The sequence below is a fragment of the Homo sapiens genome, chromosome X, assembly GCF_000001405.40.
Source record: "Homo sapiens chromosome X, GRCh38.p14 Primary Assembly".
NCBI classification, from domain to species: Eukaryota; Metazoa; Chordata; class Mammalia; order Primates; family Hominidae; genus Homo; species Homo sapiens.
Window position 1 is genome coordinate 75,050,835 of NC_000023.11, and position 17,328 is coordinate 75,068,162.

The 17,328-nt window shown below is 34.5% G+C and overlaps 1 protein-coding gene across 5 annotated transcripts in view; it reads right to left on the reverse strand.

Moving 5' to 3' along the window:
- Positions 214-17,328, reverse strand: part of ABCB7 (ATP binding cassette subfamily B member 7) — a 105,236-nt gene continuing 88,121 nt past the window's right edge. For all 5 annotated transcript variants that reach the window (NM_001271698.3, NM_001271697.3, NM_001271696.3 and 2 more), the window contains 4 exons: positions 14,236-14,407; positions 11,494-11,597; positions 9,389-9,496; positions 214-2,751 (listed from right to left, as the gene is read on the reverse strand). In NM_001271698.3, the coding sequence (NP_001258627.1) occupies positions 2,536-2,751; positions 9,389-9,496; positions 11,494-11,597; positions 14,236-14,407 (600 nt within the window). In that variant the 3' untranslated portion in view covers positions 214-2,535. The remainder of the gene's footprint in view (positions 2,752-9,388; positions 9,497-11,493; positions 11,598-14,235; positions 14,408-17,328) is intronic.

Consider the following 17,328-nt stretch of genomic DNA (forward strand, 5'->3'; position numbering starts at 1 on the left):
ACATTCCTAACCTTCTTGGACTAAAGGTTTCCCATATCACAAAATAACTTACTTTGAACACTATTCACACCTCAAAATGAATTATTGCTGATGGTTACTTCAGTATTATGTGTTTGTTTATGCGGCTAAGCAAAATCTTTTCCATCAGCATCACTGGAAATGTATAGAGGGAATTAACAAAGAAGCAAAATTTCTATTGAGACTTTAACCACATTTCCAGTAATGCAACTGGTTTATTAAAAGTACTCACCCCACCCCCAGAAGAGCAGTAACAACTATGGTTTCAGAGTAAGAAATGTTGAAAAGGAAAAAAAAAAAAAAACTAATCCACTTTTCAGTTGATTATGCATCTCAGTATTAACTCTAGCTTTAAAAGCAAGATCTTGCATCACTTACTCTGGCAGCAAAGACTACGAAATACTGGTTTCATGTTACTTATCAAATTACCTTTATATAGCAAGAGTGGACACCTAAGTTAGATAAGTTCAGCTATCCACCCACCAATGTCAACAATACTAAAATTAATCTCTCCCATATCAAATTATCATGAAAAATTTCTTAAAACTATAAACCAATAAAATATTAGGACCTTTTCTGAGAAATAAAACCTTATTACATAGTTATGTGGCCATTCATGAGGTGCATATGTTTTCAAATTGAATGATTACTACCAAACAAATGAAAGCAAGTTCATACTGGAAAAGAGAAGAACTTTCTAAGTGAATGTATAGCAATATTTTATTAATTCTTTCTAGCAGGTAAAACTTTTTTTCCTCCCAAGGTAAAACTTGATTATGTTGTTTGGGCTCCTCCTCGTTATGTCAGGCTTAAAGAAACTAATTAAATTACTGAAAAGTAAGGGAAGATCTTTTAATAAATTCTGAAGTGTCAACACAGATTAGAGTCTTGATCATCTAAAGAGTATAATATGTAATACTCTATTTACCTAAATGTTAATATTTTTTAAATGGACACTGATTTATACACGTGTGAGCATGTGCATACATGCACGACATCCCATTTACTTGTTTCTTTGTAAACTTCGAATAGAAAAAGCAGCACATTTAAGATGGAAATATAAAAGGAAATGAACTTTCTAAGCTTTTCAGATTACTCCCAGTATAGCAACTTTCAAATTACATAGGAGTTTGTAAATCTTTAAAGAAAAATGTGTAGTTTTGTCCAAAACAAAAACAGTGCCTCATATTTTTATGGAAAAATAAAATTCTAATCACTAGATGATAGTTATGGTGCTGCTTAATGATGAAGAATATTCTACATAGCGACATGAGAATGAAGGTTTTTTTCCTTCAAAAAGTACATAGTTGCAAATACTTCAAAAATTCTAGCGGCCGGGTGCGGTGGCTCAAGCCTGTAATCCCAGCACTTTGGGAGGCCGAGGCGGGCAGATCACGAGGTCAGGAGATTGAGACCATCCTGGCTAACACGGTGAAGCCCCATCTCTACTAAAAATACAAAAAAATTAGCCAGGCATGGTGGCGGGCGCCTGTAGTCCCACCTACTCAGGAGGCTGAGGCAGGAGAATGGCGTGAACCCAGGAGGCGGAGCTTGCAGTGAGCCGAGATCGCGCCACTGCACTCCAGCCTGGGAGAAAGAGCGAGACTCCGTCTCAAAAAAAAAAAAAAAAAAATTCTAAGTATAGGCTGGGCATGATGGCTCACACCTGTAATCCCAGAACTTTGGGAGGCCAAGGTGGGCGGATCATGTGAGGTCAGGAGTTCAAGACCAGCCTGGCCAACATGGCAAAACCCTGTCTCTACTAAAAACAGAAAAATTAGCCAGGTGTGGTGTCATGCGCCTGTAATTCCAGCTACTTGGGAGGCCAAGGCATGATAATTGCTTGAACTCAGAAGACAGAGGTTGCAGAGAGCCGAGATGTGCCACTGAACTCCAGCCTGGGTGACAGAATGAGAATCTGTCTCAAAAAAAAAAAACAACAAAAAACAAAAAACAACAAAACAAAAAAGAAAAAAGTAAGTAACCTATCAAGTAAGACATCAAACTATAAATGCATGTCTATTTCTGATACATTCTAATTTTAAAAGTTTATAAATTCATTTTCACATCAATTTCAATTGGACGAAGGAGGGAGAAGAAACAATGAACCTACACTATCCTCTTTTTCTTTCATGTTAAGAAACAGACACTTTCCCTCTAAATTGTCAGCATAAAGGTTTTAAAAACTATAAAAATTGGGAAACCAATCTGATTCATCTGGCTATAGATCAAATGAATGTCAGGCCTCAAGAGGGTAATGTGGTAATATCAAACAGGTAGCAAAAAGTATGCATTGAGCACAACCAGGACAGTGACAAGAAAATAATTTGGGGATAAATACAGATGCCACATTAAATAGACTATGAAAGATGTAAAACTCAAATCCCCTTTTAAATAAATCTTATCTAAAAGAAGGATTATAGAAAATGGGAATGTATGATTTTTTTAATAAAACAATTCTGCTTCAGTGCAAATATGTAGTCCAAAACAACAAAAAAAGAAAATGTCTTATGTGACTTAGCACGAACAGTTTCCACAGCCTTTCACACTATTGACAATTTCTTCTTGTAGTTTCTTTCTTTCCTCCTCTTTGGATATATTTTCTTTCTTTGCTTCCCATTTGGGGTTATCATGGTTCTGCACACGGCTGCTCTGTGTATGCCACATTTCTGAATAGATACTATGAGGGTTAGCAAGCAAACCATGGTGGGTACCACGTTCGGCTACCTTACCCTAAAAAGTAAACACATGAGAAACACGGAGAAAGGTCATTTAACTAGCATAATAACTGAAAATACCAAATACTTTCTAACTAAGGAGTTTGAAGGATTTGCATTCATTAAAATACTTCTCCCAATTCCTCATACACAGTATAAGTGAAAAAAATTTAGGTAGGAATGCTTTCCTCCCTGTTGAGCTACCCAGTGCCAGAACAAACAAAAGGCTATAAAATTTCTAATACCATAAACACCATTTTATTTAAAGGAAATAAAATTGTAATGTTTCATTTGTCATTTTGAAGGGAAGAAAGGGAAGGTTAAAATGTAAACAGGTGATATTTTCTGTAATCAGCAAATATTCAAATCAAAAGCACTGTTATTTACAGAGACTTAAAAGATTTAAAAATAATATCCTTAAATCCTTATGTGTACTTTGAAATAAAAAAGATTTCATAAAATAAAAAAGATTTAATGAAAATGAAAAGTTTACTTCTTCCAGTGGCTATTTTTGTTAACAATGGTTATTAAACTTAACACTGCAAAGATTTGGTGGTATAGATTCCAAACTCTCATCTACAATTAATTTGTTTCTTGATAGCTACGGTTAACCATGCTGAGAGACAAAAGGACTTCTGTCACTTTTACTGGTATTCCTGGTAACAAGACTTTTACAATAAACCCTTAAGTAAAATAACTGAAATGTCTGTGCCTACATTTAAGTATTTACATGTAAGGTTATACCACTATTCCTTGATTTATTCATTTCTGGCATTATCTACTAACTTCCTACTATGGAATACGGAGATTCAACACTCATACTATCCCACATTCCCACTACTACATCATATACTCTCCTAATAACATCAGTTACATCACAAATTTTGATTCAGTGTTTACCTTATTACGACTTTGTAAGTATTCCCTGCTTAGCTAAGTAGGTACTAGGATTTTATATTTATTTTCTTATATAGTCTTTTAATTCTCCTAGACTTAGTAACTTCCTTGTTTTTTTTTTTCATTTGCTTAGTTTTCTGTGTCACTATTGGAAATCTCTCCAAAGTTTATTACACAATCACAAAACCCTTCTCAACAGTATTTTTCTCATAATCAACTACATTAAGTAATCTATTAGTTTATTTCACCTCACCACCCAGAGATATTCCCTTCAGAGCTTTTAGGTTGTTTTCTACATCCTCAATTCTGAAATTGTATGATAATGTGCCCTGGTACAGCTTTATTTTTCCTTTCCATTCATTGTGGTGGGTACTCAGGCCCTTTCAATCTAGAAACTCTTGCTCTGAAGTTCTAGACACTTTTTTGGTATTACTTTCTACGGCAAAAACCACAATAACTTTTGTACCAACCTACTATTTGACAATTTCCTCCCCTGTTTCTGGCCTCTCTAGAACTACCACTAGTCAGATGTTGGACTTTTTAGATAAATTCTCTTGTTTTCTGATCTTTTCTCTATATTCTCTTTCTTTTGGAGATTTCCTTGACTTTATTTCAGCAAAGACATTTCTCATTTCAAAAATCTTGTTCTCAGGTCATTCCTTTATTTATTTATTCACCAAATCCATTTTAAAATTTTGAAATATTTCAAGAGTGACACAATGAACAACTTTATATGCTTCTCCTAGTTTGGCAACCATTATTTTTTCCTACATTTGCTTTCTCCACCTCACCTTCTCTCTATATATACATGATTTTTTTGCTACACAATCTGAGAATGAGCTGCAGACATCATTACACTTCACCCCTAAATATTTCATTAGCATGTATCTCCTAAAAACAAAGACATTCTCCTACATTACTGAAATACAACTATACCACACTCAGGAAATTTAACAATGGCCGGCCATGGTGGCTCATGCCTGTAATCCCAGTTCTTTGGGAGGCCGAGATGAGAGGATTGCTTGAGCCCAGGAGTTTGAGACTAGCCTGGGCAACATGATGAGACACCCCCCCGCCCATCTCTACCAAAAAAAAAAAAAAAAAAAAAAAAAACAACCAAAAAACACACACAAAAAACTGAACAGTGATACGATATTCTTATTTAACATACAGTCCATATTCAAACTTCATCAATTGTACCAATAATGTCCTTTATACTTTTTTTCCATCTAGGATCCAATCAGGATCAACACATTGAATTTATAACAGCTTCGTTCTAGTCTGTGTGTGTTTGTGACATTGATATTTCTAAAATGTCCAGTCCTGTTTTTAAAAGACTGCCCTTCAATTTGTATTTGTCTAGTTGTTTCTGATTATTAGATTCAGGCTAAATTTTTTTTTTTTGAGATAGACTCTTGCTATGTTGCCCAGGCTGGTCTGGAACTTCTGGGCTCAGGTAATCCTCCCACCTCTGCCTCCCAAAGTGCTGTTATTACCAGCATGAGCCACCATGCCCAGCCCAAGTTAAACATTTTGGGTAGAAAGAAAAGATAATACATCTTCAGTGCATTACATCAGGAGGTACATGAGTTCAATTTGCTCCATTACTGATATTAGGTTTGATCAATTGGTTAAGGTGACATCTACCAGTTTCTCTATTTCTCTATTTTCAAGGTATTTTTTCTCTAATTAGTAAGTAACCTATGGTAATTTCAAACCGTGCAAATATTCTAGCCTCAATAGCTTTATACCATATGGTTTCAGCAACCAGTGAGGACCCTTACCTGAATCAATTATTACAATGGTGGCTGTAAAGTGTGATTTTCTGAATTTGTAATTCCTTTTACATTTCACGTGTTAGTTGGCTTTCTTCCTAAAGGGGAATTGTCCCTTTCCCCTTGATAATTTTTGTTTTAGCAGTATCATCATGGATGCTTAGATGTTTTTTATTTAATGTATTATAATTAGTGTCATTACTCTTTTTATGCCCCAATTGGCTAGTGGGAGCTCATTCAAAATGGTTCCTTTGTCCTCATGACTTGTGTTCATTAGTTCCCCTGACCCAGATCGGGAATCAACTACTTCTCCAAAAAGTCTTGGCTCCTTTTAGTGAGGAACAGTATTTAGTGCCCAAGATCTGGGTGCCAAGTATACCCATTACTACTGGGTTTTCACAGCTTCTAGGCCTCTTCAGTGAATAGAGTTGGGACATTTTTTTTAAATCATAAATTCAGACTGATAATACTATTCCAATATATCGCAAGGTTCTCCTCTTCCTTGCCAATTCCATATTTTTATCTTTCTTCTCCAAGAGATCTGTTTCCCAACATCAATGTATTTACTCATAAGCTCAATCTTACACTATACACAAAAATAGTCTCAAAATGGTTACCCCCACACTACTACCAACAATACACTAGGTTCAAATTTCCTTTGGGTTATTTTTGTCTTTATAATATATTCCACTAAGGGTATATAATCAAAGTAATATATTCAAAAGTTACTTGGCTTAATTCTATTTTTCTTCTGTGTGGTTATGTTAGCAATTTTATATGCAATTCGTTTTACTTCTTTCTGTTTGTATTCAATTTTTATTTTTCCCCATCCTTGTTGATTTAATTTTATTTTTGAAGGTATAAAAACACTAAGCATGGTTCAAAAGTAAAAGAAATATTAAAACTTCATTCTCTTTTCCGTATCTCTTCTAACCCTTTGTACCCACATCCCATAGGCAGCCAATTGCTTTAGTTTCTAGTTTATCCTTTGAGTTTCTTTTTGCAAAAATAAGCAGATATACATATATTCCTTTTTCCTTATCTTCTTTGCAAAAGGTAGCATGCTATATTCTCTTTTGTATCTTACTTTTTTTTTTCACTTACCAATATATTCTACAGATCATGCCATATAAGTTTCCTTTACTTTTTTTTTTTTAATTTTTGGAGACAGAGTCTCGCTATGTTGTCCAGGCTGGTCTCCACCTCCTGGGCTCAAGTCATCCTCTTGCCTCAGTCTCCCAAGTGGCTGGGATTACAGGTTACTTTTTTTTTCTTCTGTCCTTATTTTAGAAATACTGTATTTTCCACAATCTCTGAGCATATTAAGAAAGTCTACATTTTCCATTGAGTTCCTTTTTTCTCTGTTTTGGAGGTCTATCCACTGACATTTAAGAATAGAGCATTGAAAGGCTGACCGGAAGCTCTGTGTGCATCAATATGCCTTTCTAAACCACTGGACTTCATGGTAGGATGATTATGTAGATATCTGGACATTTTGTTGGGGTTCTCAAATACAAATATCTTTTTTTTTTTTCCTGGGGCTGCTTTTGTTTCTCCAGAGAAGAATCCTCCTATTATTTGCTGATGAGTTAAGGAGTAGTGATGGTAAAAATAAACAACTGGTTGGCAAAGTTCTTGGAGCCAGTGGCACAAGAGGGTCTGTGGTCCTATCCTTTGGTATGTTTTGATTTTCAGTTAATCTCTCCCTTCATTGTTAATGTGCCTGGTGGTCTGCTTGTGTCCAAAGCCAGTAATTTCCTGATAAGTAAATCTCCAGACTCTTGCTAAGGTTAGGAAGGAGTATAAACACCAGGCTGTGGGGGTGAGAAAGGGACCTGGGAACTTTATTTCTTATGTAGTCTTACACTTAATTCTGTTACTTTCAACCTCATGCTTATCGCCACTTTTCATCATATCTGGTGCCTTTAATTCCTGAGCCTTTTCAGGGGTCTACAACATGAATCAACTTGCTTTTTTTTAAATTGATGTCTCTCTCTTTTGACACACAACTTTTTAGCTCTGCTAATCTGTCTACTTACCAGTTTCCCCCAATTTGCTGGTATCTCTTGTCCACTGTTACTCCTTCTCCTATTATCTTTGTCCTTACGGCTGTATACTTATTATGCTTATTTTATTTCTTCACTTTCATTTTAGTATGGTTAGGGGAAGAAGAGATAAACAAATGTATCCAACCTTCCATGTTTAACTAGAAGTTCCCTAGATATGCCGTCTTAACATTAACACTACTACAAGAAATTGCTGACAGAACACAGGAGGTGACAGATTATTAGTCAAAGCTAAGGTCATATTAGTTTCACTAGAAAATGAAAATCTGTTATCTTCATAATCAGACAACTATAGAATCATCAAATTATGAATAATAAAGAGATTCTTGTTTAGATACAGTTGCTATGATCATTAATAAATTAGGTCCAATTATAACCCAAAACCCAAGTGGCAATGGTGTAAAATAAGTGTATAGATACTGTGAATTACATGGCATGAGGCAGGTAATTACATGGCATGAGGCAGGTAATCACATGCCTGCTAACGTATTTTAACAACTTCTATTTGTAATAAAAGGCTATTACTACTTGGCTGCATAGAATCAGAAAGCTTATAAAAAAGTAGCAGATTTTATTTAAGATTCTTGAACATCAATGATATAATAAGGTATTATTTACAAAATTTCCCATTTAAGACATTCTGGTACAACCATACTGGAAAAATCAGTTTGGTAATGAATATAAATATTTAAGAACAAACCAACAGAAAGGCCTAGGGTCACAAGTATGTAAGCAACTTATGAAGGTAATAGTATACAAACCACAACACTGAATACCCTATAAGAAATGTTAGTGGAGTGAAAAAGTCCCTTTAAATAGCTCAATATACAGACAGTACATGAGAATGCTTCTCTCTAAACTCTTAGTACACAGGTTTTCAAAATGTGACCAGGTGTGATGGTTCACGCCTGTAATCCCAGCGCACTTTGGGAGTCTAAGGTGGGCGGATCACCTGAGCTCAGGAGTTTAAGACCAGCCTGGGCAACATGGTGAAACCCTATCTCTACAAAAAATTAGCTAGGTGTGTGGCACATGCCTGTATAGTCCCAGCTACTTGGGGGGCTGAGGTGGGAGGATTGCTTGAGCCCAGGAGTTCGAGGCTGCAGTGAGCCGAGATCGCGCCACTGTACTCCTGGGTGACAAAGTAAGACCCTGCCTCAAAAAGGAAAAAAAAAAACCAAAATGATAAAGAATTGAAGATATATTTATTAGAAGGGAAAAATAATTACAGAAAAGGCTGAATGCAGGGTGGAAAACTGCATAATGTTAGAAATAATCAAATACTAGAGGGGTGTGGGGAGAAGAGGTCCTTACAGAAAGAAGAAAAGAAAAATTATTGCAATTTTCAAATCTACCCATCACAATAGTGGTACTCTGATTTGTCTAGACTTTTACAGTATACTCATATAGTAATTCCCTTAGAAGAGATAAAGCAGGCTATCTTTTTTCTTACTTTCCCGAAAAGGAAAAACATAAAATAAAAATGACCATGTTTGAAAATGACCACTTTATTTTATGGTAATTTTCTTTTAACCATCAAGGGTATGTGCAGGTATTAGAAAAACAAAAACATATAATACAGCAAAGACACCAAGCAAAGAGTCTATTCAGAGCAAAACTGAAGGCAGAAAAGTTATTTTATATATGCACCATTGAAAAACCTGCTTCTATCGTGAAGATTTAATGCTTTCCTGATTAAACTTTTGCTTATAATACTTTAATAAAGAGTGAGTTAATATACTTTATTCCTTCTTGGAAGTGACATGCATTATTTCCAATCAAAAGGGGCTAAAAACAGAATCGTAACAGGATTCAGTCTCAACCAAATAATGTAAGAAACAATATTTAAGCTTCTTGTATCTATAACAATTTCCAGTGTTCCTCAAATACTAAACTTTAAAGTTAAATGTCTTACCTGATCCAAGACAATGATTTCATCTGCATCAACCACTGTTGACAATCTGTGTGCAATGAAAATAGAAGTTCTGTGTTTGACCACATCCTTCATGGCACCAAGAATAGTCTGCAAGTTTGGTAATATGAAGAACAGGAGAAAATAAAAAGAAGTACACATTAGGCAAATGTAAATTAAAATAATCATACATTTCCTAAAGGAACATAAAAAATGCCAGTTTTTTTTTAGTATGTAACTTTATACTGATACCAAATATTAGACCTAATCTAATATCTGCTAAAAGGAAGAGGAGAAAGCAAAAAGAGAAGGCAACTATGATCACATTATCGTGGAAAAAAATTCTTAGGCAACATTTCTCCAAGTTACAAAATCTGGGAGAAAGTAGATATTTTCTATACAAGTACAAATAAACAACTCTTGTGATATCAGGAACATAGCCACATATAATGTTTACCAATGAGAACAAAACTAAAATGAGGAGAGACTTAAGTGACAGGACACAGAGAAATTCAAAATAATCCAGAGATAGGGAGATTCAAAGAGTATAGGAACATTTGCTTTTCCTTAGTTCAAACTCAGTGGACAGAAGGGGAAACAATGATAACTGTATATTTTTAACTGCAGAAACCTCTTTTTCAAAAGCATTCTGACTTCCTAACGCATCCGGGAAATACATTTTTGTTTATTCCCTGTAAAGTATAAGAGTTGTACATATATTCAGCTATACTTGGAAACCTGGGTCTAAGTACAGCAAGCTAGATGGAAATAGCAGTGTGGGGGATGGGGATATACCCAAATTTCCTACAGATATTTCTGAACATTTTATTTATTAAAGGAATAAAATTATCAAGAGCAGATGGTTACCCAGGAAAAGATCTTATTTTACTAGGGCAGACTGATAATAAGGTACAAGGCCAATACTAAGAAAGCCTGTTATGTTTGTGAGGACTCCTTTTTTAACCTTTAACAACTTAAACTCTGACATCCTACTGAAGACTCTGGACTTTTTAAAAAGGCCCATTAAAATTTACCACATCTTCTAATAACTCCTCCCCTTGGCGGGTTGTCTATTGGCTCTTAATGGGTTATGCTCTCTGACATAATAAAGCTGTGTGACTCAAATAATGACTGTTGGTAGGTCTTTTAGTTTGTGGTAGTATGACACATTTTTAGGTAAAAAGTTCTTATAAGCATGTTCCTATTTTTCCTGTGAATGGGGTCTGGTCCTGCTTATGGGTCACTTTAAATATATGCTAACCAATTCACTTCAAAATTAAATTGCTTTAAATATGCTGCAGATCAAACAATGGGCCCTGAAACTTAACTCCGTATGAAAATATTATGTCACACAGCCTGCAAAGCTGAATTAGGCCTATCCTTCAACACTAGCTTTATACTATGTATTGAATTAAAAGGTAGTTGAATGAAGGCAATTGACAAATGCATCTGCCTATCTTCAGTTCTAGATTAAGGGGATATGATAATGAAATTACCATTGTTGTTGAGACTTTTGTATGTAATGTAAAGATGTTGCTATAAAATCTAATGCAGCTGTGGGGCAATGTCATTGACATCAGTGTCACATCTTGGTGTTTCATAACACTTCCAGTGAAATGAATACAAATTGATACCAGCACTGCAGGTTGTGTGTGCCTGACTTGCATCTCATGAGTCGCTCCATGATAAGTGAAAGGCTTTCTGGTATGTACCATGTCACAGGTTTCACAATCACTTCCATGACTATTTTAATGAGTGTTAAGTGGCAATAGGAGAGAGACTAAAACTTTCTTCCTTTGTCAGCATATCAGGTGATTCCTACAGCTTTGTAAGATGCAAGGGCAATACAACAACAGCATAAGGTATCACATAGTTCCAAAAGGAGACACATTTGCAAATGGACTTAACACTGTGGTATCTCTAGTTCAATACAACCTGGTATTCTTACCATCAACACTTGCCATATGGAAAAAGGGGGATAGGCATTTTGCTCTATAGCACTTACTATTGAAGTTTATTCAAAATACAAAGTAATGCAGCCATTTTACTGAAACTTCCAAGTAGAAAAGTTAAACATTGAAGAGCTTTATATTTTAATCATAACTTACCTCTTCAGTAATCGAATCTAACGATGAAGTAGCTTCATCATAGAGTATGACTGGGGGGTCCTTCAAAATGGCTCTTGCAATTGCTACTCTTTGCTTTTCTCCTCCTGGTAAAGGAAAATTTTACTTTAAGGAAGCATAGTGCATGCATATTTTATGTTTTTAGTGTTTCCATTGATTACAACCACCAAGTAATACACTGAACATTTCCTTATTCTCCTGATCACAGTTCATTTTACTGAGTTGTAGAGTTGAAGTTCATATACAATATCTTTTGACAAATTATATTCCCTGAAACATGAATGCACTACTGAATTCTGACTTCATAGCAGGTGGGAAGAATGAGAATGAGGCAGTAAGGTAACAACTTTGATTCTACTATTATTCTTCTACCAGAAGCATGCTCATTATATGTTACTTTATATTACAGATAATTCTCAATGAACTGCAATCTCAGAAAAATTTCAATGACAGAATTGACAATGCCAAAAAAATCAATATCTGAAACCTGAAACTTGAAGACATTAAACTATGAATAACTGAATTCGTCTCTTAAGATAAAAAAGTAGCATTCAGCCAGTATTCTCAAGGATTGTTTTTTGATAGAAAGCTATTATTTTCACAGCATTCTTCAAAGTTAAAGGCATACACTAGATATCTTTTCCTTTATTCAGGTATTTATTATAGGTCTCTAGCATATCAAATTTTTAAAATAGAAAGGATATAGGCCCAGAAAAGTTAAGTGATTTGCTCAAGGTCACCGAGCAAGAATCTGGACTAGACCCATTTCAGTCCAATGCTCTTCTTATCACAATGTGTAAGCCCACATTTATTCCTAAATACAAGAATAAATATTTAGAAAGTATTTCTTAAATAAACAGTGAAAATATGTAGTGAAATGTATAGAAACCTTTATTACTGAGACTACTGTAGGTCTAAGGTCATCAATCTTATATAGAACTATAGTTGGAAGTACAGAAGATGGTACTCTGCTGACTATGTCCCTTTTGGCTTCTTTTCTTGTCTATTATACATTACCAATATCTGAAAAACATATTTTTCAGCTTATTAGGAAATAAGCTCTATCCATTACCTGGTACATTAAATATTTTTATTTTTACTTATTCTACAATTATTATCTTTGGCCTATAAAGGGGTTCCTTATTTTTAATATTAGTAAGTTTATATTTATGCTAGCCATACGCTTCCCCACCTCACAGGATCAAAATTCTCCTAACAAGGCAGGTACCATAAGTACTATCTTCCCGCCTACCTATCAGCCCAGTAGCAGAAAGTTCCTCAAAGAAGTAGATATTCAGAGGAAGGACTAGTTTTGAAGTGCCTCTCAAATTTCAAGTGGAAACCAACTCAGTTGTAATTCTATTCAACGGTATTTTGGAACTTGGAGAAGAAATGTCTGTTTATTCTCTAACATAATTATTAGCATAGATGATAAATAATAAATTGCTCATTTTGAGAGGTTTGGTTATAAGGAAATGAGAAATAGGTAAGAATAAAATTTCTTTAGCTATTCCTATCCCTCAAAGGCATGCAGAAAGGAAAAATAAGATTAGAAAATGGAACACAGCATAGCTGGCTGAGGCAAAGTCATGCATTAAGAGGGCTAGTTCATATTACGTGATAAATTAGGGATCGCCAGAATTAGCCAAACGGACACATAATTTGGGGGTGGGCCAGATAACTGGAAATTACTCCTATTAAAAGCAGTAATAAAGTGTAAATGTGGACTGGAATGATACTGGCATCTTATACTACCAGGTAATGACCCAATCAACTTAACTTGGAAATAATCTTTGCTTAAAATTTTCTAAACCTAGCCCAAAACTTTCTAACAGATTGCCAATTCCTGAATAACAGGCCTGTTTATGCTTCATTTTTTTAACTTTCAAATCATTTAGCATAGTAGCTTGCACATAGTGTGTATCTAATAAATGAAGCCAGTTTATAATGAAGAGGAATGTGGATTCGTTAAAATTCATATAGAGTATTTCTCATTCTATTTTTGCCTTACCTCTATCTATAATCGATACATTTCCTGCCCAAACTAAACTAGACATTGCTATACTTTTGAATTCAAATAATTTGGGGGTAAAGAAACATTTTTCTGTGTCCTCCAAAAAAAAAATCAGTCATTTTAGGGTAATTCATTCTTAAACCTAGCAATCTCATAATTAAACATTTAACAAGAAATGTATAAGCCTCAAAATATCCTTGGCCACAGAACAAAGGACATGAAAATGAATCTGGCTGTAAGGAAAGTATAGCAGTTAACAGGATCAAATATAAAGAGGTCTCAAGTACTGAAAACATCTTCTAATGATCTAGGAAGTTATGATGAGAGATATACACTATTCGTTATCAAATTACTTCTCCCTAACCTTACTACTTTCCCAGGTAAAGAACGATCTTGTTTTTCCTTTATCATGAAGATTGTAGATAACAAGTTAGTAATGATCTGAGCATATTTTGATAACTTACTTAATATCAAACACCTACAGTGTTTGCAGCTGCAAGTGAAAAAAAAAAGACTTGCATGACTTGAGAATAGTTACTAATATGTTGAATTGGTTATAGTGAGGGCTAGGAGATTAGTAACCCAATCAAATGTGACTCAACGAGCACTACATTTGAAGTCTCTCATTACATTTTCTAAAAAATGGCTCTGACAAATTAGAGTTTGAAAGAAGTATACAAGAAGGGGGCAGGTCTAAAATCTCTGATCACCTGAAAGCTTGAGTCCTCGTTCCCCTACTTGGGTGTCATATCCATGTGGCATTCGAAGAATTGCATCATGAAGTCCAGCTAATTTTGCCACTGCATACACTTCCTCAGGTGAAGCACTGATGTTTCCATATAAGAGGTTGTAATAAATAGTATTATGGAAGAGGACAGCATCCTGAAGCAGATATACTGAATGAATATATATCTATATCTATATATCTCTCTCTATTTATGTTCATTATTAAAAATTCAAATAGTAAAGAGACAAAGGCATAAAGGGTAAAACATGACAGTCCCTTTCATCATCCCTCATCTGCAAAATCCCATTCCCTTCCCAGGGGTAGTCATCATAAACAATTTAGTGTGCATCATTCCAGACTTCTTCCTGTGAATTTATATACCTAAACATATGTTTCTTTCCCCTAACACAAGTATGGTCATTCTACACATATTATTTTGCAATTGCTTTTTTCAGTTAACATATCATAGAGATTGTCCATGTCAATAACAGAAAACTAACTCATTCTTTTTAACAGTTGTATATTCCATACTATGGAAATGTCATAATTTATTTATACATTCTCCTACTGATGGACATTAATGTGATTTCCAAGTTTATGCTACTACAATGTTGGAATAAAACATTATGTATATGACTTTGTACAACTGTGTGTTTCTGTAAGAATTCCTAGAAGTAGACTGATGAGTTTAAAGGTAAGCATACTTTTATCCTTTGATATTATTGCCCAAATGTCTTCTAAATATGGCCCTACCAGCAACCAATAATGTATAAGTACACGCTAACCAATAGCATATGAGGGTGCCAGTTCCTCATATACTCAGAAACCCTGGATATTAATAATTTTTAGGTGTTGCTATTCTTAGGGGAAAAATGTGTTTTTTGTTTAAATTAGCATTTCCCTAATTACTAACGAGGTTTGAATATGTTTTCCTATGTTTCTAAGAAGCTTTGACATTGATATTAAAACAGAAAACAAATAATTTATGCAATATATATATTTTTGGAGAAAGTTCACTTCAAGCATTCATTTGATATTTCAACTTATTCTCACATGGCACACTAAAGCTAATTTACTTCAAGTGAGCATCCATCTCCCATTTTTCTTTCAATCTCTAAACGGTTGGAAGGCTATGGTTAGGTGAAATAAAATGACTCCATTTGTTCACATTAACCAGGATACCCATCTTCTTTAACATCATAATCAGACCAAAAATTTCATATATTGCTTTAAATAGTATTTAAATCATTTATATACCTATTAATAAAATTTCTCATATTGAGACAATACTTAAACTCAATAAGCTCATTGTATAAACAGAAACTGCTTATTTTAAAATAATTTATATTTAGGAAAAAGCTAAATGTGCTAGATGGAAATTTTGAAAATATAAAAACTAATATAAAATAAATACTGATTTTTTTGGTGTAATTTCTGCTAAATGGGTAGATTTTAGCTGCTCTAGTCACAAAAACATGGGTAACTGTGAGATGATGGACATGTTAATTTGCTTCTCTACAGTAATATAATTATCTATATGTATCTCATAACATCATGTTAGATACCTTAAATATATACAATAATGTTTAATAAATTAAACTTTAAATAATCCATATTCCCATCATGTAGCAAGATCTAATATTACATTGATATTTTCTATCTTTTTTCTCTACTGCAATGTATTCATTTAATATAATAAAATCAGGATATTATATTTTGCTTGCTATCCTCCTTTTTAATACTTTGTATTTGCATATTTTTCATGACAATATTCTTTAAAAACACAATATTTATGAATGGCTGCATGACTCTGATCCTATAACACTGTAACCATCTACTTACTGTTGGACATTTACATTGTTTCCAACTGATGCTACTATAAATAATGCTGTAATGAACATATTTGCATATAAAGACTTGTTCACATCTCTGTTTATTTCCTTACTAAAATTTCCTAGAAGCAGAATTATTGGAATAAAGGGTATGAATATTTTTCAGGAACTTGATACACACTGCCAATTTGCTTGTCAGGAAAGCTGTATACTTCCACCAGCAAAACAAGAGACTGTCCATTTTACACAGCCTTGCCCAAACTGGATATTAGGAATTTCAAAATCCTTACCAATCTGATAGGTGAAAAAATGACACGTATCCTGTTGTTGATTTAATTTATATTGCTAAGGCCTCCAATGAGGATGAGAGTCTTTCGTTTACTGATGATGTATATTTTCCCTTTGTGAATGTGTTACTTCCCAAAAGGATGAGGATAATTGTTACAATGCCCAAAAGAATGGCAGGAATCTATTTACATGGATGAGGACACTGAATCCTAAGTAGTCACAGCTCAGAATCCAGTTCACTTGACACACAGTTTAGATTAGTGTTTCTTTTTCCTTTTTTTTTCTTTTTTATTTTTGAGACTGAGTCTAGCTCTGTTGCCTAGGCTGGAGTGCAATGGCGCGATCTCGGCTCACTGCAACCTCCGCCTCCTGGGTTCAAGCAATTCTCCTGCCTCAGCTTCCCAAGTAGCTAGGATTACAGACACCTGCCACCATGCTCAGCTAATTTTTCTATTTTTACTAGAGACGGGGTTTCATCATGCTGGCCAGGCTGGTCTCAAACTCCCGACCTTAGGCGATCTGCCTGCCTTGGCCTCCCAAAGTGCTGGGATTACAGGTGTGAGCCACTGTGCCCAGCCTAGATTAGTGTTACTTAACATACAATCTATGAACCATCTATATCAGAATAACCTAGGAGGCATTTTCAAAAAGGCAGTTTTCTGGGCCCACATAGTCCTCCAAAATCGTAACTGGGGTATGTGAGAAAGAACTGGAATTATTAAATTAGATTATCTAATCCAATTTAAATGATACGATTTATTTTTTAAATTTATAAATGGTATTGTATATATTTAAGGTATAGAACATGATGTTATGAGATACATATAGATAGTAAAATGATTACTATAGTGAACAAATTAACATATCCATCATCTCACACAGTTACCCAATAATTTCTCTAAATGACTCATCCTGACTAACATGTGGGATTTTCAGTGAAAAAGAGGACAGGGGAG